This window comes from Homo sapiens, chromosome 11 (genome assembly GCF_000001405.40).
Source record: "Homo sapiens chromosome 11, GRCh38.p14 Primary Assembly".
NCBI classification, from domain to species: Eukaryota; Metazoa; Chordata; class Mammalia; order Primates; family Hominidae; genus Homo; species Homo sapiens.
The window spans coordinates 129,830,038-129,856,503 of NC_000011.10; the positions used below are offsets into that span (position 1 = coordinate 129,830,038).

The window sequence follows — 26,466 nt, forward strand, 5'->3', positions numbered from 1 at the left end:
AATAGATCAGAGGTCAGGTGCAGTGGTTCACACCTGTAATCCCAGCACTTTGGGAAGCCAAGGCTGAATCACCTGAAGTTAGCAGTTCTAGACCAGCCTGGCCAACATGGTGAAACCTTGTCTCTATTAAAAATACAAAATTAGCCAGGTGTGGTGGCGCATGCCTGTAATCCCAGCTACTCAGGAGGCTGAGGTGGGAGAATTGCTTGAACCTGGGAGGTGAAGGTTGCAGTGAGCCAAGATCATGCCATTGCACTCCAGCCTGGGAGACAAGAGCAAAATTCAGTCTCAAAAAATAAATAGATAGATAGATCAGACACATAAATATAAGAGCTAAAACTATACAATTCTTAGAAGAAAACATAGAAGTGAGTTTTCTGACCTTTGGTTAAGCAGTGGTTTCTTGGATATAACATCAAAAGCACAAACAAAAGAAAAAAAACAGATAAATTGGACTTCATCAAAATTACAAGCTTCTGTACTTCAAGGACAGCATCAAGAAAAGACAACTCACAGAATGGGAGAAAATATTTGCAAATAATATATCTGATAAGAAACCTATATCTAGAATAAAGAACTATTACAACTCAATAATAGACAAGTAATCCAATTAAAATGGGCAATGTATTTGAGTAGGCATTTCTCCATGTGCCCAATAAGCACATGAAAAGATGCTCAACATCACTAATCATTACGGAAACAAAACAACAAAATACCACTTCATACCCACTAGAATGGCTAAATGAAAAAAGACATAACAAGTGTTGGCAAAGATGTGAAGAAATTGGAACTCTAATACATTGCTGGTGGGATTGTGAAAGGGTCTAGCCACTTTTGAAAAGTCTGACAGTTTCTCAAAATGTTAAACATAGAGTTACCATCTGACCAAGTATTCCACTCCTAGGTATACAGTCATCACCCTTTATCTGCAGGGGATATGTTCCAAGACCCCCAGTGGATGCTAAAACCATGGATAGTTAGTTCCAAACCTTATATACACTATATTTTTTCCTAGATGTATATACCTATGATAAAGCTTATATAAATTAGGTATAGTAAGAGATTAACAATAATAGGACTGTATTAGAACTATATGTGTACTAGAACAATTACAACAATATACTGCTCACAATTTCATGGATGAAGATTCATTTTTACTGTAGATCTTGGCAATCTCAGCGTACTAATTTTTTCTTTCGTTATTAAGAACTTTCATGCTTCCACTTAAACAAAACACTTGACAACTTCTCTTTGGCATAATCGAACTGCCAGCATCACTACTTTTTCATTTTGGAGCCATTAGGTAAAATAAGGGTTACATGAACACAAGCACTATGATACCATGACAGTCAACCTGATAATCCAGACAGCTTACTAAGTGACTAATGGTTATGCTGGAGAAAGCGATGATTCATATCCAGGGTGGGATGGCATGAAATTTCCTTATGCTACTCAGAATGGTGTGCCATTTAAAATTTCTAAATTATTTGTTTCTTGAAGTTTCGATGTAATGGTTTTGGACCACAGTTGACTGCAGGTAACTGAAACTGCAGAAAGCAAATCCATGGATAAGGGGAGACTACTGCATATCCAAGAGAAATAAAAACATCTGTACACACAAAAACATGCAATTCTTCACAGCATCATTATTCATAACAATTCAAACGTCCATCTACTAACAAGTGAATAAACAAAATGTGACACATCCATACAATGGAATATTATTTGGCCATAAAAAGGAATGAAGTGGCCAGGCATGGTGGCCCATGCCTGTAATCCCAGCACTTTGGGAGGCCGAGGCAGGCAGATCACAAGGTCACCAGTTCAAGATCAGCCTGGCCAATATGGTGAAACCCCATCTCTATTATAAATGTAAAAATTAGCCAGGCATACTGGCGGATGCCTGTAATCCCAGCTACTCAGGAGGCTGAGGCAGGAGAATCGCTTGAACCTGGGAGGTAGAGGTTGCAGTGAGCCGAGACCACGCCATTGCACTCCAGCCTGGGCGACAGAGCGAGATTCCATCTCAAAAAAAAAAAAAAAAAAAAAGGATCCGGACACAGTGGCTCACGCCTGTAATCCCAGCACTTTGGGATGCTGAGGCAGGTGGATCATGAGGTCAGGATATCAAGACCATCCTAGCTAACACGGTGAAACCCCGTTTCTACTAAAAATACAGAAAATTAGCCGGGCATGGTGGCAGGCTCCTGGAGTCCCAGCTACTCGGGAGGCTGAGGCAGGAGAATGGTGTGAACCCAGGAGGCGGAGCTTGCAGTGAGCCGAGATCGCACCACTGCACTCCAGCCTGGGCGACAGACTGAGACTGTGTCTCAAATAAATAAATAAAGGAATGAAGTGCTGATACATGCTATACCATGGATGAATCTTGAAAACATTATGCTGAGGGAAAGAGGCTGCCTCTTGTATGATTTAATTTACATAAACTGTCTAAATTAGGCAAATCCACAGAGACGGAAAGCATATTGGTGATTGCCAGGGGTTGGGGGGCTGGCGGGAAACGGGAATGACCATCAATTTGTATGGGATTTCGTGGGGGGTTGGTAAAAGCATTTTAAAATTGAATAGTTGTAATTTTTTTATAAAATTAGATAGCAATAATGGTTGCACAGCTGTTAGTAAACCAAAAAATACCAAATTAAACACCTTAAAAGGGTAAATTTTACGGTACGTAAATTATATGTCATTAGGAGTGGGTTTCTTTTTAAGTAGAAGAGTAATGGCAAGAAAGTACAGAGAACCATCTTAGGGTGACTTTCAGAGCCATCAGGAAAAACTGTCACAGAAATAAAAAGTAAAAAAACTTAGTAAGGTTGAAATCTTTGTAGCTTGTTATACACCTGAGAGTTATTTTTCGTATTGATTTAGTAATTAAATCTATGAAAGGAAATGTAAGTGTTAATTGGCCGGGCCTGGTGGCTCACACCTGTAATCCCAGCACTTTGGGAGGCCGAGGCAGGCGGATCACCTGAGGTCAGGAGTTCGAGACCAGCCTGGCCAACATGGTGAAACCCCATCTCTACTAAAAATGCAAAAATTACCCGGTTGTGGTGGCGCACCTGTAGTCCCAGCTACTTGGGAGGCTGAGGCTGGAGAGTTGCTTGAACCCGAGAGGTGGAGGCTGCAGTGAGTTGAGGTTGTGCCACTGCACCCCAGCCTGGGCGACAGAGGGAGACTCTGTCTCAAAAAATAAACAGAAAAATAAAAAAAAAAAAAGGAAATGTAAGTGTGAATTGATGAATGGATAAATAACATATGGCGTTATGGGCAGAATTTTGTCCCCCCACCTCCAAGTGTATATGTTGAAGTCCTCACCTCCAGTGCCTCAGAATATGCCTGTGTTTGGAGACAGGATCTTTAAAGAAGTAATCAAGTTAAAATGAGGTCATTAGGACAGTAATCCAATATGACTGGTATCCTTATAAGAGGAACTTTAGGGCCAGGCGCAGTGACTCACACCCGTAATCCCAGCACTTTGGGAGGCTGAGGCGGGTGGATCACCTGAGCTCAGGAGTTCCAGACCAGCCTGGCCAACATGGTGAAACCTCGTCTCTACTAAAAATACAAAAATTAGCCAGGCATGGTGGCGGACACCTGTAATCCCAGCTACTCAGGAGGCTGAGGCAGGAGAATCACTTGAACCCAGAAGGCGGAGGTTGCAGTGAGCCGAGATTGTGCCACTGCACTCCAGCCTGGGCAACAAGAGCAAACCTGTGTCTGAAATAAAAAAGGAACTTTAGACACAGACACACACCGAAAGAAGACCATTTGAAGAAATAGGGCAAAGGCGGTCATCTGCAAGCCCAGGAGAGACACCTCAGAAGAAACCCATTCTGCCAATGCATTGGTCTCAGACTTCTAGCTTCCAGAACTGTTAGAAGATAAATGGCTGTGGTTTAAGTCCCCTAGTCTGTGGGACTTTGTTACAGCAGCCCTGGCAACCAGTACAGATTTGGGTACCAAGAAATAGCGTGCTGTTGAGCAGACGTGGCTTTGGAACTAAACAGTGAGTAAGGGCTGGAAGAGTTTGGAGGTGCATGTTGGAAAAGGCCTAAATTGCCTTAAAGAGACTGTTGATAGAAATGTGGACATTAGCCGGGCGCGGTGGCTCACGCCTGTAATCCCAGCACTTTGGGAGGCTGAGGCAGGCGGATCACTTGAGGTCAGGAGTTCGAGACCAGCCTGGCCAACATGGTGAAACCCCATCTCTACTAAAAATACAAAAATTATCCAGGCGTGGTGGCGTGCGCCTGTAATCCCAGATACTCAGGAGGCTGAGGCAGAAGAATTGCCTGAACCTGAAAGGCAGAAATTGCAGTGAGCTGAGATCACGCCACTGCACTCCAGCCTCGGCAATAGAGCGAGACTCAGTCTCAAAGGAAAAAAAAAAACAGCAACAGAAATGTGGACATTGAAGGTGATTCCAGTGAGGACTGAGAAAGAAAAAACAGAGCTGTAGAGAAAGCATCTATCAGCTGGGCACCATGGCTCACGCCGGTAGTCCCAGCAGTTTGGGAGGCCAAGACATGTGGATCACCTGAGGTCAGGAGTTTGAGACCAGCCTGGCCAACATGGTGAAACCCCATCTCTACTAAAAATACAAAAATTAGCCAGGTGTGGTGGCATGCACCTGTAGTCCCGGCTACTCGGGGAGCTGAGGCAGGATAATTGCTTGAGCCTGGGAGGCAGAGGTTGCAGTGAGCCAAGATCATGCCACTGCACTCCAGCCTGGGTGACAGAGAGAGACTCCATCTCCACAAAAAAAAAAAAAAAAAGAGAGAGAAACATCTGTCATCTTAGAGAATACATGTATCATCAGGAACAGCATGTTGGCTGAAATATGAATGTTAAACGTACTTCTGGTGAGATCTTGGACAGAAATGAGGAACATGATATTAGAAACTAGAAGAAAGATAGACCTTGTTATAAAGTGGCAAAGAAATTTGTTGAATTGGATTCTCATGTTTCATGGAAAGCAGAACTTATAAATGATGAACTTGGATATTTAGCTGAGGAGATTTCTAAGCAAAGTACTGAAGGTGGCCTGATTTCTTCTTGCTGCTCATAGTAAAATATGAGAGGAGAGAGACAAGCTAAAAAAGGAATTTTTAGAAAAAAAGGAACCAAAACTTGAAGATTTGGAAAATTCTCCATCTATCCATTCTACAAAAAGTGTGAAAGCACATTCTGGAGAAAAGACCAAGGGTGTGGCTGAACCCCTGTCTGAAAAGATGGCCAATGTGATGCATGGATACAGTCAACCAACTCAGCAAGTCGGGAACAGAGATGTGGTTTTCCCAGGAACATCTGTGGAGGGCCCTCTTGTCAAATGGCCTCACCCCCTGTGGATTGCATAGGAGGCCAAGGTTTTTGAGAATTTATACCAGCAGACATTGCCAGTTTGGACCAAAGGAGACAGAAATAGGAAGAAATGAAGGAAGATTGTCAGATTTCTGGAATTCTGCAGGACCAGCCAGTACAGCGATATGGCTGTGATCATGAGTTATCCTTAAAGGAAAGGGAAGAATGACTCTGAAGCCAGTTCAGAGATCTGCCAGGCTGCTACTGCCACCTTGGGCCCAGGCACACAGATTCAGGGGCAGGTCTGGTGCCACTTCCTTGGTTTCAGCAGGCCAGGATGCCCCAGCCCAGGACCAAGGGGTGGGGCCAGCATTTAGGGTAGAGGAATCAGGGTGATGGCCCTGGAAGGCAGGGCCACCCTGTGGACCCAGACAACAGAACACTGAGCCAAAGAGGATTATTCTCAAGCCTTGGCATTGGGCTGGGCGCAGTGGCTCACGCCTGTAATCCCAACACTTTGGGAAGCTGAGGCAGGTGGATGACCTGAGATCAGGAGTTGGAGACCAGCCTGGGCAACATGGTGAAATCCCGTCTCTACTAAAAATACAAAAAATAGCCTTGCATGGTGGCTCATGCCTGTAATCCTAGCTACTTGGGAGACTGAGGCAGGAGAATCACTTGAAGCCAGGAGGCAGAGGGTGGAGTGAGCCAAAACCGCGCCATTGCACTCCAGCCTGGGCGACAAGGGTGAAACTCCATTTCAAATTAAAAAAAAAAAAATTGAACGGAATTTGCCCTACCAGGTTCCAGGACAGGAGATCCATGACCACTTTCTTCTTTCCAATGTCCCACTTTTAAACTAGAAATGTCTATGCTCTGCCTGTCCTGTTTGGGAAGCAGATAATTTCTTGTCTGGTCGTAAAGGTTCACAGCTGGAGAATTTTGCCTCAGGATGAACCATACCTCAAATCTCACCCATACCTGGTTTAGACGATACTTACATGAGATTTGGGACTTAACAGTTGATGCTGATCTGGGTTAAGACTTTTGGCACTGTAGGGATGGGGATAAGTGTATTTTGCATATGAGAAGGATATGGATTTTCAGGGAGCAGAGGACAGGGTGTTATGGGCTGAGTGTGCTCTCTCCAAATTCAAATGTTGAAGTCTTATCTCCCAGTACCTCAGGATGTGACTCTTTTGAGATAAGATCTTTAAAGAAGTAATTAAATTAAAATGAGATCATTAGGGTGGGGCCCAAATGCAGTATGAGTAATGTCCTTATAAGAACACAGACACACACAAGAGGACGACCATGTGAGGACACTGAGAGAAGATGGCCATCTCCAAGCCAAGGAGAGAGGCCTCCAGAACTGAGAATATAAATGGTTGTTTAATCTGCCCAGTGTGTGGTACTGTGTTACCAGCCCTAGCAACCAGTGTATGTGGTCTACCCACACAATGAAATACCATTCAGCCATCAAAAGGACTCAGTGGTGATTCATGCTTACAACATGGAGAAACCTGGGAAACATCGTGCCAACAGAAAGGGCCAGTCACAAAAGGCCACATATTATATAATTCAATTTATGAATTGAAAGGCAAACCTGTAGAAATATAAAATCGACTGGTGGCTGCCTGCTGGACACCCCGCAATGTGCAGGACGGCCCCACAACCAAGACCCCTGTGGCCCAGAGTCTCAGCAATGCCGAGGCTGTGAGATCCTGCTCTCGCCCAGGCCTGCTTCCCAAAGCCCTTTAGTCCTGAAGGGAGAAGAGAACAGGCTGCCTTCTTTCTTTGTTATTGAAATCCCACTTACTCCCTCTTACAGCATGCTCTTCTCCCTTTAAGACCAGCCCGGGCTGGTCTCTACCACGTGTAGATAGGGCTGGGGAAGGAGAAGACTGGTGAGAGTGAGGGGTTTCTTTTTTTTCTTTTTTTTGTTTTGAGACGGAGTCTTGCTCTGTCTCTCAGGCTGAAGTGCAGTGGCGCCATCTCAGCTCACTGCAACCTCTGCCTCCCGGGTTCAAGAGATTCTCCTGCCTCAGCCTCCTGAGTAGCTGGGATTACAGGTGCCCACGACCATGCCCGGCTAATTTTTGTATTTTTAGTAAGAGACAGGGTTTCACTATGTTGGCCAGGCTGGTCTTGAACTCTTGACCTCAGGCAATCTGCCCGCCTCGGCCTCCCAAAGTGCTGGAATTACAGGCATGAGCCACTGCACTGGGCTTTTTTTTTTTTTTTGAGACAGGGTCTCCTCTGTTGCCCAGGCTGGAGTGCAGTGACATAATCATGGCTCACTGCAGCCTCAACCTCCCAAGTAGCTGGGACTACAGGCACGCACCACCACACCCAGCTAATTTTTTTTTTCTTTTCTTTTTGGTAGAAATGGAGTTTCACCATGTTACCCAGGCTAGTTTCTTTTTTTTTTTTTTTTTTTTTTGAGACTAAGTCTTGCTTTATCGCCCAGGCTGCAGTGCAGTGGCTCAATCTCAGCTCACTGTAACCTCTGCCTCCTGGGTTCAAGCTATTCTCATGCCTCAGCCTCCCGATTAGCTGGGACTACAGGTGCCCGCCACCATGCCCAGCTAATTTTTGCATTTTTAGTATAGATGGGATTTCACCATGTTGGCCAGCCTGGTCTCAAATTCCTGATCTCAGGTGATCCACCCACCTCAGCCTCCCAAAGTGCTGGGATTACAGGCGTGAGCCACCGCGTGCAGCCCCCAGGCTAGTCTTAAAGGGAGAAGAACATGCTCTAAGAGGGAGTTAAGTGGGATTTAAATAACAGAAAGAGGGCAGCCTGCTGTCTTCTCCCTTTAGGACTTAAAGGACTCTGGGAAGCAGGCCTGGGTGAGAGCAGGATCTCACAGCCTCGACATTGCTGATACTCCGGGCCACAAGAGGCTTGGTTGTGGGGCCATCCTGTGCTTTGGAGGATGTTTGGCAGTGTCCCCGGTCTCCACCCAGAGAAGCCAGGGCGCCACCACCAGTCCCCGTTGTGAGCCACTGGACTCGAGAATGACCTAATGGCTTAACCTTGTACTATGACAGAGCCCAAGTTGCCTGAATTTTAATGATACAAAGAATTTTAATTATGCTAATTTTATCTTAATTTTTTTGTGAGACGGAGTTTCGCTCTTGTCGCTCTTCTTGCTTGTCTCAGCCAACATCTCATGAAAAACCTTCTAGGACAGCTGGCATACCTCCAATTCATTCTTTTTAACGGTTATATAATATCTCATAGTAAAGATAAAATATAATTTATTCAGTCAAACACGTGGTTGGAACTGAGTAGAGGCCCAAGCTCTCTGGGATATTTGGGGATCTATTATTTTGTGTCTGCCACCACACACTGGGAGACATTTGCTTTAACTCTCCACCTCTGGGAGCAACGTAATGTTAGAGAGTGCTGGTTGCCAAGCCTAGGCACTTGAGGAGAAAAACAAAATTCACTTTCCCCCTTTTTCTGATTCTTCCATTCATGTGGACATCTCTTCCTTCACCATTCCTGCTTTCCCCCTCTAAAATAAGGGAAAATTCCTGCTTTATTTTTTTAAAGCACCATATCAAGTTTTACTTTTAACTACAGCCAAATGGCATCAACCATAATTTCTCCTTTCCTTGGCACCATTTCCTCTCTCTTCTGTGACTCTGCTTCCCTCTGGTTTCCTTGCTCCTCATTCTCCCTTACTCTTGCCTCCATTTTCTCTTTCTGACTCCTTCTACCTTATCTTCTATTTCACTTATCTCAAATGAGAGAGCGAGAGAAGGAAGGAGAGAGGGAGGGAGGGAAGGATCCAATGATCTCCCTAGATATGAAATAAAAAGGAACAGTTGCCCAAACCTCCAGTCTTCTTGGTGGCCAGCTTGGTTGCTATTTTTAATACTAGGCCATAGCAGCAGATCAGCTGGGGATTTAATAGGGAGATTCTGGAAATGAGAGTCATGGAAGTGTTGAGATGAGGTCTTCACACATCCCTGGCCGAGTGGAAAAGCTATGCATCTATAGGGAAGACCTGAGACAGCCCAGCAGAAAGTGAAAGGCAAAGTTACTACCTGTCCAAAACATTCAATCCTCCCCTCACACTCCCATTCTATCTCATGTGAAATTTAAAAAAAAGGAAATATATTGAAATAAGAAAGTTGGGGAATTTGCCTTTGTGAAAGCACTTATTTTTTTCCTTTGGAGACAGGGTCTCACTGTGTCACCCAGCGGTGGAGTGACACGGAGTGTCAGCGGTGCAATCACGGCTCACTGCAGCCTCAACCTCACAGGCTCAAGCAATCCTCCCATCTCAGCCTCCCGAGTAGCTTGGACTACAGGCGTGCCCTTCCATGCCCAGGTAATTTATTTTTAGTAGAGACGGGTCTCACTCTGTTGCCCAGGCTGATCTTGAACACCTGGGCTCAAGCAATCTTCCCGCCTCAGGCTTCCAAAGTGCTGGGATTACAGGTGTGAGCCACTGCACCTGACCTAAAAGCACTATCTGATATTTGTTTTCCTATTTGTAAGTTTGTCCTTAGATTGAAAGGTTTTGTTGTATATTGCCCACACCAGTTGTGTATATTAGGAAACACATTCCTTAAGTACTTTTTTATTTAACATGTATTTTATTTAAATGTTTTTAATGCTAAACCACAGCAGGGGCTTAGCCTATATTTGGAAAATGGGTTATCCAAATTATTTAGAAGTCCAAATTTTTATTGTTCTACTTGAAGTTATTTATTACCTTATTCCTCCTGTAACTAAAACTAACTCATCCTCCATCTCCTCCACGTGTTCCATAATGTAGCTAATCTAATGAACTAATCCATTAATTTGTTATTGGAAGAAATATAGCCCATCCCCATCAAATCAAAGTACTCAGTCTTCTATGAATCATACATAAGTTTAAATAAATTTCTACAGACATGCTGCAGGCCCTGCTGTCCACTGGTGTGAATTTTAGACGAGGTAAAAGGGAAGGGTGGGTCTTGACAAGCTGGTATCAAGTACATAGAGGCAGACAAGGACTCTGCCTTTATTTCAGGTACTGCTTCTGAGAAAAATGAGGAAGTGCAGGGAGGAGGGAAGCCGGTTAGTCACTGTGCAGTTTTGACCTACATTTGCAAAGCTGGTTTTTCTGCACCTTTGCCTAGGAAAATGAAGTATAATAAGCTTGATATTGAAAGGGACCTGTGTTAAACATTAAACAAACATGTAAATTTTTTATGTTCAAAGGAGGGTTTAAAAAGAAAGCGGGCTGGGCACAGTGGCTCACGTCTGTAATCCCAGCATTTTGGGAGGCTGAGGCAGGTGGATCACTTGAGGTCAGGAGTTCTATATCAGCCTGACCAACATGGTGAAACCCTGTCTCTACTAAAAATACAAAAAAATTAGCTGGGCGTGGTGGTGCACGCCTGTAATCCCAGCTACTTGGGAGACTGAGGCAGGAGAATCGCTTGGAGGCAGAGGTTGCAGTGAGCCAAGATTGCACCATTGCACTCCAGCCTGGGCAACAAGAGCGAAACTCCATCTCAAAAAATAATAACGAGGAGAAGGCCTTCCAGTTATGGCAGCACAAAGAGGCAGGCAATTTCTTTCTGTAAAAAAAAAAAAAAAAAAAAAAAAGCAACAAACAACCAAAAAATATATAAAACTAGACAAAATTGTTTATCAAAACCAAGCATTTCAGGGAACTGGAAATTGACAAAATGCAGGCAAAAAATTGAGCAGCATTTATTCTTGAAAAACTACTAGATCTTCAGGCAAGTAGGAGATGGTGGCTTTTTTTGCCTGTGGCTGCTCCCATCACCCCCCAGCTCAGCCAATGACTTTTAAGTAAGATGGGGCTGGCCATGAAAACTGCCACACAAACAGATTCAATTCAGAGCAGTGGCTGGGGGGTTGAAAATCCTTGGCTTTGCTGGCTTAACATGGGAATGAACACTTGGAAATGAGCAGGACAAATCCACAGCTTCGCTAGCTTGAGGTTGCAGCCCCACTTGGGGCAAGCAGCAGGCCAACCAGGAATTTAACAGGGGGATTCTGGAAATGAGAATCAGAGAAGTATTGAAGTGAGCTCTTCACGCATCCCTGGCTGACTGAAAAAACTATGCATATATGGAGAAGACCTGAGAGAGCCCAGCAAGGGAGATAAGGGACTTGAAAACTGGCCTTCTCCAACCCCCACACAGAGGGACTGACAGGGGTTGGAAGTGTAATGGGCTTGAAGTTTTCTTTTGTTTTTTTGTTTTTTTTTTTTTTTTGGAGACAAGAGTCTCACTCTGTCGCCCGCCCAGGCTGGAGTGCAGTGACGTGATCTCAGCTCACTGCAACTTCTACCTCCTGGGTTCAAGTGATTCTCCTGCCTCAGCCTCCCAAGTTGCTGAGATTACAGGCACCCACTACCACGCCCGGCTAATTTTTTGTATTTTTAGTAGAGATGGGGTTTCGCCATGTTTGCCAGGCTAGTCTTGAACTCCTGACCTCAAGTGATCCACCCGCCTCGGCCTCCCAAAGTGCTGGGATTACAGGCATGAGCCACTGCGCCCGGCCTCAGAGAATTAAAGAAAACTGTTCAAGGAATTAAAAGAAAATATGATTTAAATGACTCGACAAATAGGGAATCTAAATAGAGAAATACAAACTGTAAAAAGAATTAAATGGAAATTCTGGAGTTGGAAGGTACAATTTCGAATTCACTAGATGGGCTCAATAGCAGATTTTGAGATAGTGGAAGAACTAGTGAACATGAAAATAGACCAATAGAAATGATCCAATTCGAAAAACAGAAAGAAAAATGAAGACAAATGAACAGACCTTCAGACACACATGGGATGATGCTCAATGTCCCCACATACGTGTAATGGAAGCCGCAGAAAGGGAGAGAGAAAAAAATAAAGAAGTAATAGCTGAAAGCTTCCCAGGTTTGATGAAAGATATTGAATTGCAGATTTTTTTTAAAACTCAACCAACACTGAATTTAAAAAACACAAAGAGAACCACACAGGAAGGACAAAGCCAGAAGCATCACACTTCCTGTGTTCAAATTATATTATAAAGCTATAGCAATCAAAACAATATAGTACTGGCATAAAAACACACATAGAGCAATGGAACAGAATTGAAAGCACAGAAATAAACCCACTCATATAAGGTTAACTAATCTTCTACAAGGTGTCAAGAACAAGAATGAGGAAAGAATAGTATCTTCAATAAATGGTGCTGGAAAAACTGGATATCCACATGCAAAAAAAAATAAGGAAATTGGATCTTTATCTTCCACCATATACAAAAATCAACTAAAGGTGGATGAAAGATTTAAATGTAAGACCTAAAATGGTAAAACTCCTAGAAGAAAATATGCAGGGAAAGATACATGACATTGGTGCTAGCGTTGATTTCTTTTTTGATATGACAACAAAAGCACAGGCAACAAAAGCAAAAGTAAAGGAGTAGGATTGCATCAAAGTAAAAAGCTTTTGCATAGCAAAGAAAACCATGAAGAGAGTAAAGATACCCATAGAATGGGAGAAAATATTTGCAAACCATATATGCAATAAGGAGCTAAATCCAAAATATACAAGAAACTCTTACTACTCAATAGTAAAAAACAAATAACCCTATTAAAAAGTAGGCAACAGGCTGAGTGCAGTGGTGCAATCTCGGCTCACTGTAACCTCCGCCTCTCAGGTTCAAGCGATTCTTCTGCCTCAGCCTCCCGAGTGGCTGGAACTACAGGCATGCGCCACCACGGCTGGCTAATTTTTTGTATTTTTGGTAGAGATGGAGTTTTGCCATGTTGGCCAGGCTGGTCTTGAATTCCTCACCTCAGGTGATCCGCCTGCCTCAGTCAGCCTCCCAAAGTGCTGGGATTACAGGCATGAGCCACTGTGCCCAGCCTATTTTAGACTTTTTGATTGCCCTATGATCTCAGTTCTCAAATGAGTTTAGGAAAAGTTATGATTTTGTAGTTTATCTGCTATCGTTGCTGTTAGGGTGTAATACTCATCCCAGCTTTCCGCATCCTGGATTCTTTGTGTTTTAATAATTGTTTACTATAATCTATTTCATATGTTCTAATGTATACAATGCCAATTGATGTTTGCTTTTATGTATTTGCAGTTTTGATTTCTTCTTTGACCCAAAGTTATTTAGTGACTTAAAAAATGTTTAAGGTGATTGAGATTTTTGTAAAAGAAAATATTTCTGTTGTTATAGCATTGTAGTCAAAGAATGTAGGCAATAAATTTTCTGCTTTGAGAAAAAAAAAAAAAAGTGGGCAAAGGACCTGCATAGACATTTCTCTAAAGAAGACATACAATGGCCAAGTGGTTTATGAAAAGATGCTCAACATCACTAATCGTCAGGGAAATGTAAATCAAAGTCACAATAAGATATTACCTTATACCTGTTGGGATGGCTGTTGCCAAAAAATCAAAACAAAAAACAAAACAAGATTGGTGTGGATGTGGATAAAGGGAACCTTTACATACTGTTGGTGGGAATGTGAATTGGTACATCTATTATGGAAAACAGTGTGGAGGTTTCTCAAAAAATTAAAAATAGAGCTACCCTATGATCCAGCAATTTCACTTCTGTGTATATATCGAAAGCAAATAAACTCCCTATCTTGAAAAGATATCTGCCCTCCCATGGTCACTGCAGCTTTGTTTGCAATAGCCAAGATATGGAAACAATCTAAGTGTTCACTGATTGATGAATGGACAAAAAAAATGTGGTGTATATATATATAGAATGGGATATTATTCAGCCTTAAAAAAGAAGGAAATCCTGCTATTTGCAACAACATGGATGAACCTTGAAGACCTTATACTAAGGGAAATAAGCCAGACACAGAAAAAATGCTGTGTGATCTCACTTATATGTGGAATCTAAAATAATCAAACTGGATATAAACAGAATAGAATACCTGTTACCAGGGTTCTGGAGCAGTGGGGGAAATGGGGAGATATTGGTCAAAGGGTACAAACTTGCAGTTATGAGTAAATTTTGGAGACCTAATGTACAGGAGGGTGACTATCATTAATAATAATATACTGGCCAGGCACAGTGGCTTATGTCTGTAATCGCAGCACCTTGGGAGTTTGAGGCGAGAGAATAGCCTGAACCCAAACATTCAAGACCAGCCTGGGCAACATAGCGAGACGTTGTCTCTACAAAAAATTTTTTAAATTGGCCAGGCGTGGTGGCCTGCACCTGTAGTCCTAACTACTTATGAGGCTGAGGCGGAGGATCACTTGAGCCCAAGAAGTTCAGGGCTGCAGTGAACTATGATTATGCCACTGCACTCCACCCTCGGTGATAGGGCGAGACCCTGTCTCTAAAAATAATAGTAATAATAATAAACCTTATATTTGACATTTGCTAAGAGAGTAGATCTTAAGGATTCTCATTACAAAGGAAAGGAAAGGGTACCAGGTAAGGTGATAACTCTGTTAATTAGCTTGATCATACCAATCATTTCACAATGTATACATATATCAAATCATCATGTTATATACCCTGAGTATATACAATTTTTATTTGTCAATTATACCGCAATAAAGCTGAAAAAATATTAAAGGACATCCTTCAGGTCGAAAGAAAATGAGGTTTTAGAGTTATTAAAATGGACAGAAAGAAATGAAGAACGCTGGAAATGGTAAATATGTGATTAAATATCAAAGAATATATATATATTCATGCTTTGAAAAATGTAAAATTGCTTCAAGAAATAATTGCCACACCATTAGTTTATAACCTAGACTTTATATATTCTTAAATCTTAAAAACTTTATAACAAGCCCAAACATAAATATGATATGTACATATATGTGTACACACACACGCACACGTCTCTGCCTGTTTATTAGAGTGGCTTATTTAGTCCATTCATATATATTAATGGCTTATTTTGTGTGTGTGTATGTGTGTGTGTGTGTGTGTGTGTGTGTATGCATGAAGGAAGGGGTAGGAAATAGAGCTATTATAGATGTGTGTGTGTGTGTGTGTGTGTGTGTGTGTATGCATGAAGGAAGGGGTAGGAAATAGAGCTATTATATATTGGAACAAAGTCACTATATTTTATCAGAATTAAGTTACTATTAAAATAGACCATGGTAACTTCAAGATGCATACTATAATCCCTAGACTAGAGCATGCAGTAGGAAAAAAATATATATAGCTTAAAATATGAAAAAAGTAATTAAAATGGTATACTAAAATTACTTGTTAGACATAAATGACAGCAGGAAATGAGGCACGGAGGAACAAAAAAATGCATGAGTGACAGAAAACAAATAGCAAAATGACAACTATAAATATAACCACACCAATAATTACATTAATATGAATGGACTAAATAAACCGTCCCAATAAAAAGGCAGAGATTGTCAACTATGCAAATTCTCAAGGAATTTCCCTTTTATGCATAGTTTTGGGAATGCTAGACTTATATTAATGGAAATAAGCCAAGAAAGAAAAATAAATGGCATCCAAGAAACAGGGGATCCAAAACAAGGAAAAGCCTCTTCTGGAAGCTGCAGCAAAAGGTAGGGTGGGTGGAAAACAAGAAAAAGGCAAAGGGAATTTGTAAGATGGTGCAGAATGCCCCAGGAGGACAGACAGCCAGTTCAATTTTAAAGAGAATATTCTCAAAACAGGTCTCTAGGAATAAAACAGAAATAAGTTATCTGAGGTTAAAATGTCTAGAATTTAATTTGGTCAACATTTGACAGATCTTTTAGCCCTTTGGAGGAAAAACATAGTGATCAGTATTTGGGAAGATAAACAAGTAAAAAAACAATGCAATTATTAACCCCAGAATAAAACAAAAGTGTTAGGCCAGGTGCGGTGGCTCACGCCTGTAATCCCAGCATGTTGGGAGGTCAAGGCAGGTGGATCACCTGAGGTCAAGAATTCAAGACCAGCCTGGTCAACATGGTGAAACCCTGTCTCTACTAAAAATACAAAAATTAGCCAGGCGTGGTGGCACCATCCTTCATTCCAGCTACTCAGGAGGCTGAGGCAGGAGAATCGCTTGAACACATAGGTGGAAGTTGCAGTGAGCAGAGATCATGCCACTGCACTCCAGCCTGGGCGACAGAGCAAGACTCTTTCTCAAAAAAAAAAAAAAGTGTTAGAGAAAACATAACCCATAATACACTACTTGGATCTGCATTCATTCATTCCACAAGTATTTACTGAGTGCTCACTCTGTGTCTGGCCCTGCGGTAAGCTGTGGACTAACCACAATAAGCAAATAGATCAAATCTCTGCTTTCCAGAGGCCCACATTTTAGTGGATGATGACAGATGCTTAAAAAAAAATCAGTCTGCAATATCAGATGGTGATTCATACTTTACAGAAAAGTTACAAGTCTACATAGATTGAAAAGTGGGGCAGGCCTCTATTGTACATGCAGGAGTCACGGAATAAAGTGGCATTTGAACAGAGACCTGAGTAAAGTGAAGGAGACAACTGTTGGCTGCCTGTGGGAACACTGTTCTAGAAGCCACAGACAGTGCAATGTCCTGAAGCAGGAATGGAGTGTTCTCAGCCATTTAAGGGAATGGAAGGGATCCAGTGTGGCAGGGGATGAGTGCTGGGAGAAATCAAAGAGATGGCTCAGGATCGTATATGGCCTTATTGGCCCTGGTAAGGACTTTGGATTTACAGAGCCATGATAATGAAACTAATGATTTCAACAAACGAGTATAATGCAACTGCTATGAAAATAGCAGGGTGGGGAAGAGGGAGAGGCTGTGAGAGAGCTCCAGGAAGTTGGTAGGTGATGCCTGACAATGATGGATTAACAAATGACCACATGCACAAAGCATTAGGTTGGTGCAAAAGTAATTGTGGTTTTTGCCATTACGTTTGCACCCACCCATTAACTACAATGGTGGAGGTAAATACCGGAGGAAACAGCTGAAAGGGTTGAAAGTGGCTTTGCTGGGGGTGAGGAGGGACAGAACATGAGGCTGTTGCTTTTCACTATAAGTCTTTCATACGAGTTGATTTTCTGAAAACTGTAAGCATTTTTTTAAAAGCTTATGAAGTTATTTTTTTTTATTTTTTTTTATTGATCATTCTTGGGTGTTTCTCGCAGAGGGGGATTTGGCAGGGTCACAGGACAATAGTGGAGGGAAGGTCAGCAGATAAACAAGTGAACAAAGGTCTCTGGTTTTCCTAGGCAGAGTGTGTGTGTCCCTGGGTACTTGAGATTAGGGAGTGGTGATGACTCTTAACGAGCATGCTGCCTTCAAGCATCTGTTTAACAAAGCACATCTTGCACCGCCCTTAATCCATTTAACCCTGAGTGGACACAGCACATGTTTCAGAGAGCACAGGGTTGGGGGTAAGGTCATAGATCAACAGGATCCCAAGGCACAATTTTTCTTAGTACAGAACAAAATGAAAAGTCTCCCATGTCTACTTCTTTCTACACAGACACAGCAACCATCCGATTTCTCAATCTTTTCCCCACCTTTCCCCCTTTTCTATTCCACAAAACCGCCATTGTCATCATGGCCCGTTCTCAATGAGCTGTTGGGTACACCTCCCAGATGGGGTGGTGGTGGCCGGGCAGAGGGGCTCCTCACTTCCCAGTAGGGGCGGCCGGGCAGAGACGCTCCTCACTTCCTAGATGGGATGGCGGCCGGGCAGAGACGCTCCTCACTTTCCAGACTGGGCAGCCAGGCAGAGGGGCTCCTCACATCCCAGACGATGGGCGGCCAGGCAGAGACACTCCTCACTTCCCAGACGGGGTGGCGGCCGGGCAGAGGCTGCAATCTCGGCACTTTGGGAGGCCAAGGCAGGCAGCTGGGAGGTGGAGGTTGTAGCCGAGATCACGCCACTGCACTCCGGCCTGGGCACCATTGAGCACTGAGTGAACGAGACTCCGTCTGCAATCCCGGCACCTCGGGAGGCCGAGGCTGGCGGATCACTCGCGGTTAGGAGCTGGAGACCAGCCCGGCCAACACAGCGAAACCCCGTCTCCACCAAAAAAATACGAAAACCCGTCAGGCGTGGCGGCGCGGGCCTGCAATCCCAGGCACTCGGCAGGCTGAGGCAGGAGAATCAGGCAGGGAGGTTGCAGTGAGCCGAGATGGCAGCAGCACAGTCCAGCTTCGGCTCGGCATGAAAGGGAGACCGTGGAAAGAGAGGGAGAGGGAGAGGGAGAGGGCTTATGAAGTTCTTGATGATGGGTGGGACCCTCATCTGTCAATGTGTAAGATGTGAAACAGCCCTGACAATGTAGCTGGTGCTAGAGGGACGGGCCTGTGTCCAGGGTTGGAATATGCTGTGCAGACCAGGAATGCTTTACATTCCGGGGTGGTCTTTTCTAGATCACTGTCTCAGTCTGCTTGTGCTGCTACAACAAAATACCACAGACTGGGTAACTTATAAAGAACAAATTTATTTCTCACAGTTCTGAAGGTTTGGAGGTCCAATATCAAGGCACTGGTATGTGGTGTCTGTTGAAGGCTGTAGCCTCACATGGCAGAAAGGGCAAAAAAGGGAAGCAACTCCCTCCATTCAGCCCTTTATAAGGGTGCTTAATCCCATCCACAAGGGAGGAACCTTCATGGCTTAATCAGCTCTTAAAGGCCCCACATCTAATACTATCACACCGGCAACACCTGAATTTTGGAGGGGACCCATTCACACCATAGCATTCCAATCCTGGCCCCCCAGAATTCACGTACTTCTCACAAACAAAATACATTCATTCCACCACAATTGCCCTCAAAAGCCTTAAATCATTCCAACATGAACTTTAAAATCTAAGTCCAGAATCTTATCTAAGTCAGGTGTGAGAGAGACTCATTCACTTTGAGATAAATTTCATCCTGAGGCAAATTTCTCTCCAGCTGTGAGCCTGTGAATTCAAATGAGTTGCGTACTTTGATTCAAATACAATGGCGTGACAGGCACAGGACAGATGTTTCTAGTCCAAAAGGGAGAAACAGGAAGGAAGAAAGGAGTAACAACAGGTCTCAAGTGAGTCCAAAACTCAACATTAGATCTTAGGCTTGAGAATAATATTATCTGACTCCATATCTCACCTTCTGAACACACTGGGGTGGGTGTTGGGCCCCCAAGGCTCCAGGTGATACCACCTCCAAGGCTTCCCTAAGTATTGGCCTACTGGGGGCTCTCTGCAGTGGCTCCACCCCGGTGACAAATCTCTGCTCGGGCCCTGAGGTCAAAGAAATCCTTTCCATCGAGGTGGAGGCGGCCGTGCTCCCACAGCTCATACAGTATGCATACCTACAGAGTCAGCACCACATGGATGCCACCAAGATTTATAACTTGCGCCCTCTGGAGCAGTGGCCCAACCTGCACCTGGTCCTGCTTGAGCCACAGCTAGGGTGACGGAGGAATGCTCTGCTGGAAATGTGGGGAGCAGAGACCTGAGGTGGCCCTAGGCAGTGATCTCTGAGACCCCGCAGGCGCCTGGGCCCTTCCCCTGAAACTGTTCTGCCGCAAGGCTCTAACCCTCTGGGCCTCTAATGAGCAAGGCAGCCCCAAATGCCTTTGGGGTCATTCTCCGAAATGGCTTTGGAGTCATTTTCCGAAATGACTTTGGGGTCATTTTCCCGTTCTCTTGATAACTAGCACCTGGCTTCCTTCTACACATACTAACCTGCTTATCAGTCCTGTGGCCATACCCGTGGTTTTCTCTCCTACACACACGTTTTTCTCTTTTTCATGGCTAGGCTGAGAATTTTTCAGATATTGACCTTTAGCTTTCCTTTTGATGGTAAATTCTGCCTTCAAATTATTTCTCTTTTCTCACGTTTTTTTTTTTGTTGATGTTGTTGTTGTTTTTGAGATGGAGTTTTGCTTTTGTCACCCAGGCTGGAGTGCAATGGCGCGATCTCGGCTCACTGCAACCTCCCTCTCCCGGGTTCAAGCGATTCTCCTGCCTCAGTCTCCCGAGTAGCTGGGACTACAGGCTCCTGCCACCGCGCCCGGCTAATTTTTTTATGTTTAGTAGAGACAGGGTTTCACCATGTTTGTCAGGCTTATCTCGAACTCCTGACCTCAGGTGATCTGCCTGCCTCGCCCTCCCAAAGTGCTGGGATTACAGGCGTGAGCCACCGCACCTGGCCTCTCATGTTTTTCTATAAGCAGTTAAGAGAAGCCACACAGCATCCTGAACACTTTGCTTTCTATCTCTTCTGCCAAATATCCTAGGTCATCATTCTTAAGTTCTGCCCTCCATGAAGTCCTAGGAAACGACATAATTCAGGTAAGTTCTTTACCACTTTCTAACAAGGATAACCTTTCTTCTAGTTTCCAATACCTTGTTCTTTATTTCTGTCTGAGACCTCATCAGAATTGCCTTCACCATCGGTATCTCTATCAACATTCTGTTCATGACCACTTAGGCAATCTCTAAGAACGAGGCTTTCCCCACAGCTCATATCCCACATCTACAGCTCTCCTCTTCTTCTGAGCCCTCACCAGAATCATCCTTAGTGCTCCGTTCATGGCAATCCAGGCTTTTTTCAGCACTCACTTCAAAGCTGTTCCAGCTTGTATTCATTATCCAGTTCCAAAGCCACCCCCACATTTTTACATATTTGTTATAACCCCTGGTTATAAATGTTATAAACTCCTCTGGTACCAATTTCTGTCTTAGTCCCTGTTGTGCTGATATCACACAATACGCAGACTGGGTAATTTATAAAGAACAACAATTTATTTCTCACTGTTCTGAAAGCTGGGAAGTCCAAGATCAAGGCAGCAGCATCTGGTGTCTGCTGAGGGCTGCATCCTCACATGCAGGAGGACAAACAGGGGACCAGCTCCCTCCAGCCAACCCCTGTATGAGGGAGGGCATCTGCTCCTAGTTCAGGAGGGAGGGGCCCTCATGGCCTAGTCCCTTCTTAAAAGTCCTCTTCTCGGCCGGGTGTGGTGGCTCACACCTGTAATCCCAGCACTTTGGGAGGCCGAGGTGGGCAGATCACCTAAGGTCAGGAGTTCGAGAAAAGCCTGGCCAACATGGTGAAACCCCGTCTCTACTAAAAATATAAAAATTAGCCAGGCGTGGTGGCGGGTGCCTGTAATTCCAGCTACTCGGGAGGCTGAGGCAGGAGAATCGCTTGAACCTGGGAGGCAGAGGTTGTAGTGAGCCAAGATCGTGCCACTGCACTCCAGCCTGGGTGACAGAGTGAAACTCTGCCTCAAAAAAAAAAAAAAAGTCCCCTTCTCTTAATGCTATCACCTTGGCAACACCTGGATTTTGGAGGGGACACATTCAAACCACAGCAATCACCAACAACTGGTATTTTTCTCCCACCCTACATATTCTTTAGGTAACCACCCAGGCCAGTGGGGAAAATAATCAATCTACTTCTGAATAAATCCTAGCTATAGTTTCATGCTACTGCAAATGGGATAACAGCAAATCATGCCTGAAAATTTTTGGAATAAGGTGATGTTTACATCGTTATGCTGATTTTTACAAACTGTGAATCATATTGACCAGGTTCATTTGTACTAGACCACCACACCAAAACTTTATAAAATTATTTTCCAGTTGGGTGAAAAATGATGTTGTGCTTTCGTTTGCCCATCTCTAATTTCCGGGAGATTTATAATTTGTTTGTATTATTTTGTGAATCATCCGTTCATGTCTTCTGCCTATTCTTCTACGGTCTTTTTCTTATCAATTTGTAAAGACTCTAATGTAATAGCCAACTGCTACAAGCATGTTTCTGATTTGTTGTTTACCTTTTGATGTTCTTGATATTAAAAGATGCTTATATAGCTGAACGTTTTTCTTTTCTAGTTCCCCCCTTTATGTTTATGGCTTGGAAGTTTTCTCTATCTGAGATCAATAAATATTACCTATCCTCCTCTTTCCCCACCCTCATCCTTTTATTTTACCCACATGTTTAAAGCATTACAGACAGTGGAGTCCAGTTGGTTATGCAACTCACTTTACAGATGAGACTTCAGTGACGTAACATAAGGCTTGTTTTATGAGAATGTGTTGATCCTTCTTAACGTGGCTTATGATTTGCAATCTCAGGCACGTATTGTGTTTCCTGCCAAAATATACATTTGTTTGCTTGCTTCATTAGCCACCTAACAGCCTTCCCCTAATTTTTTAGGTGTCCTGATGGCAAATTTCAAGGGCCACGCGCTTCCAGGGAGTTTCTTCCTGATCATTGGGCTGTGTTGGTCAGTGAAGTACCCGCTGAAGTACTTTAGCCACACGCGGAAGAACAGCCCACTACATTACTATCAGCGTCTCGAGATCGTCGAAGCCGCAATTAGGACTTTGTTTTCCGTCACTGGTAAGAGCAGGGGTCATTTGGTCTAGGGAATCTCCTCATCATACCCAGAACCTTTAATTCATTTTCTGAGCCCTGTGAAATAGATGTTCCCACTGGCAGAGATAATAGGGCAACAATTTCCTGATGGCCACTAGACTATTTTATCGTAACATCCATTGTGTACAGAGCTTTATAATACTAACGGTTGACAGCTCTCACATCATGGGACACTGTGAAAAACTCAAATCAACAAGGACACAGGTATGGAAAGTTGTAGGAGCAAAACACCCACTGTATGAAAAAGATATGACACAAATAAAAAGAGAAAAAAACAAAATAGATTAGGCTCACGTACCTTAGTTGTGACAAAGTAGAAAAATCACCTTTTTTCCTCAATTGTCTCTCCCTCCAGATCCTTACAGTAGTTAACACCCAACCCACTGGCTTATCTTCATCCTCAAGTCTCAAGCGCTTATAGAGAGTTTATGTAGATTCGTAAATTAGCCAGTGGGAGAGAAAAAGCAGCAGAGGGCTGTTGAAGAGGAATTTTCCTTCACTCTGCCCCATTCCAACAAGATCCACCCACTCCCACTGTTTCCTTCGCATCCACTCCGCTCCACTGCGGCCCTCCAGGAACAAGCAGTGATGACAGTAACAAGTGTTCTTCCTCAGGACCAGCCCCACCTGGGGGGAATGAGGGGTCTTAATCTGCAACTGACAATTACCACTTGTCATCAGTGGCCTATGGCTTCTTGGAGAGAGTGAAGCAACATCGCTTCTCTTGGAGGAAGCAAAGCTTCACAGGGCTTTGTTGGTCTCATCCTGCTGAATGTCCCCACTCACCATTCAGGCATCAGAGAGGCCTCCCGTGAGAAGTGACAGGGACCTGTGGCTTAAAGGATCAGGACAGCATCAACCTTGCCTAAATAAAGCTAGGACAATTACAATATTTGGCCCCTTGACTGGGTGAAAATGGTACTCATTCAACAGCTCTCTGGCACTCCTACCACAAGCCAGGAAGTCACTGTTCCAGGCATAGGAGATACACTGGGGAACCACACAGCCGCTGCTGTCACAGGGCTTCCATTCTAGTGTCACTGGGACTTTTCCTGGGTCATTTCCACAACTTCCTGACTCTGTGTGTGGGAATTCAAAAAGGGTCTGGCTTGAGAAACAAGTATCTGGGAAACGGAGTCCAAAATGTCATCATGGAGGATTTCTTCTAGGCTTCCCCAAGAACACTTTGGGTACCAGGCATAAAGACAAATCTTTTGCCTTCCAAATTAGCTGATAAAAGTAGAAGGGATAAGAACTAAGAGCTATCCTGTGTCGCAGTTTCGTCATTTTCTGGCCCACATCCTGGGGCCTCTGCCTTGTTTACCCGGTGTTTTAAAACACACAGCTGGGAGGGGCGCAGGGCTTGCAGAGCTGGCTCTGTGCCCAGGAAGGACACGCACTCAAAATCAGCCCTGCAGACACGCACCTGGGAGCCGCTTCCCTCCCTTGGCACGTACAGGTATCTTCATTACCAGTGTGTCTCTGCTCAGATTCTGCTTTCAGCCTAATTGTTTCTGTCTGGGATTTCTTTCACTGCTCACTTGGCAGGGAAGCCCAGAGATTATTCTATCAGCCACACTCCGACTTAAGTGATGATGTCTTGCTCATCTCTGCTCCTGGACAAACCTCCTGGGGATCTATGTGTGTGTGGTTGTGTTCATTGATTCTTCTACCCTCAACCCCAAACCCCTAAAAGGAACAACAATGGCAAGATGTCTACACAGGTGACTCAGCACACACCCTACTTTATACTGAAGCAGCTGCACCTGAGGCAGCAAAGTAGCTCTGCTGACCCGCGGGCCACCCTCACCTCACCCCATCTCCGCTTCGCTCATGCCTTTGGGTTATTCCTTGCTCCTATTTGTCTTAGAGCTACTCTTCCCTCTAAAACATCCATCCTCATTTCCCTGCAGGGATCCTGGCAGAGCAGTTTGTTCCGGATGGGCCCCACCTGCACCTCTACCATGAGAACCACTGGATAAAGTTAATGAATTGGCAGCACAGCACCATGTACCTATTCTTTGCAGTCTCAGGAATTGTTGACATGCTCACCTATCTGGTCAGCCACGTTCCCTTGGGGGTGGACAGACTGGTTATGGCTGTGGCAGTATTCATGGAAGGTAATTTTGTGGAACGGATGGAGAGGAAGGAGAGCCTGACAAGTCATATTTATGAAGGATCAGAGTACAAAATATCAGAAATGTTGCAAATATAATAACCTCCCCCAGAAAATCCACATCTCTGGACTGCCAAAACCTGAATAGGACCTAGTGCTCTACTCTGGATGGGCCAGGTGACATATTCCCTAAAGTAGCTCATGAAAGCTTTGAGGCTTGAAGGCAGCTACCAAAGCCCCGGCTAACACTGCAGGAGTCCTCCTCGCCTTCCCACTGCCGCCAGCAGCCCCTGCTCACACACGTGCATATTCCTCGGTGTGGACGTATGTGCGCACATACACATGCGGGTACACACAATGCCCCAGCTGGTTGAATGCCACCATGCAGGGGATACACCCCTTTGGTTAAGCGAAACCACACTCTACCTTTTGCCCAGGGAGGTACCGTCTTGCCTCCATCACAAGCCTCAGGAGACCCACTCCACTGCCAGGGGAGCGCTGCCAGTATGACTCACACTGACTGGGGTATGAAAATACATTTTGTCATCTAACAACCTCACTTCTGTACCTCAGCAAGAGTCGAAAAAGGTTGAGGGCAAAACTGAATTTCAAGTATACACACACAGTCTGTTACAAATCAGCAACATGCTTCAGCCGGCCCATCCTATACTGACCCCACCATGGGTTCCATAGAGATTTTAAGATACAATCCCTTGCTGCTTTATACTCCTAACATACTCATGAAATACACTTACTCGCATCTGTTTGCTGCCTGTAATGTTATGTACTAACTGCCTAAATGCTGAAGAACCTAGCTGAGACAGGTGTAGGAGGAAACTTCGGTGATGGTGAAAGCCAAGCGTAGCCCTGACAGCTGCCATCTGGTTTGTGGCAGGTTTCCTCTTCTACTACCACGTCCACAACCGGCCTCCGCTGGACCAGCACATCCACTCACTCCTGCTGTATGCTCTGTTCGGAGGGTGTGTTAGTATCTCCCTAGAGGTGATCTTCCGGGACCACATTGTGCTGGAACTTTTCCGAACCAGTCTCATCATTCTTCAGGGAACCTGGTTCTGGCAGGTGATTTTCCACACCCAGGCCCCTCGCTGGTCTGGATGGAGAAGCCCCCACCGAGCGCATCCCAGAGAAATCCCTGACGAGAATATGGGGTCTGAAAATGCAGCATTAACATGCCATGCAAAGGGGTTTAGATGACCCTTTTCCCCCCATGCCCGCCCTTTGACTCCTAGTTTTATCCATTAACATCCAGAGGATGCATTAGCAATCCAAAATTTAAAGCATGCACGGTGACGTTCAGCTGCCCTCCCCAGAGGATGGGCTGATGCCTTTCACAGGCTCTGCTTGCTAAACTGTCCACTGGAAACGTGGGCCCTGAAGTTCTGTTTTGTTGTTTGTTTTGAGAGAGACTCACCCTGTCACCCAGGCTAGAATGCAGTGGCGCAATCTTGGCTGACTGCAACCTCCATCTCCCAGGTTCAAGCGATTCTCATGCCTCAGCCTCCTGAGTAGCTCAGGTTACAGGTGCCCGCCACCACACCTGGCTAATTTTTTTGTATTTTTAGAGACAGGGTTTCACCATGTTGGCCAGGCTGGTCTCGAACTCCTGAACTCGAGTGATCCGCCTGCCTCAGCCTCCCAAAGAGCTGGGATTATAGGCGTGAGCCACTGCA

At 44.4% G+C, this 26,466-nt stretch overlaps 1 protein-coding gene across 10 annotated transcripts in view; it reads left to right on the plus strand.

Moving 5' to 3' along the window:
• TMEM45B (transmembrane protein 45B) overlaps positions 1-26,466 on the plus strand; it is a 44,156-nt gene that overhangs the window by 14,190 nt on the left and 3,500 nt on the right. For 4 of the 10 annotated variants that reach the window (XM_047426356.1, XM_047426355.1, NM_001331212.2 and 1 more), the window contains 3 exons: positions 22,438-22,623; positions 24,573-24,779; positions 25,671-25,855. In XM_047426356.1, coding sequence (XP_047282312.1) covers positions 22,446-22,623; positions 24,573-24,779; positions 25,671-25,855 — 570 coding nt within the window. In that variant the 5' untranslated portion in view covers positions 22,438-22,445. Of the gene's footprint in view, positions 1-9,515; positions 9,666-20,512; positions 20,568-21,624; positions 21,756-22,437; positions 22,624-24,572; positions 24,780-25,670; positions 25,856-26,466 lie in introns of those variants that run through there. The other 6 variants (XM_047426354.1, XM_017017188.2, NM_001331210.2 and 3 more) reach the window with 4 other exon arrangements.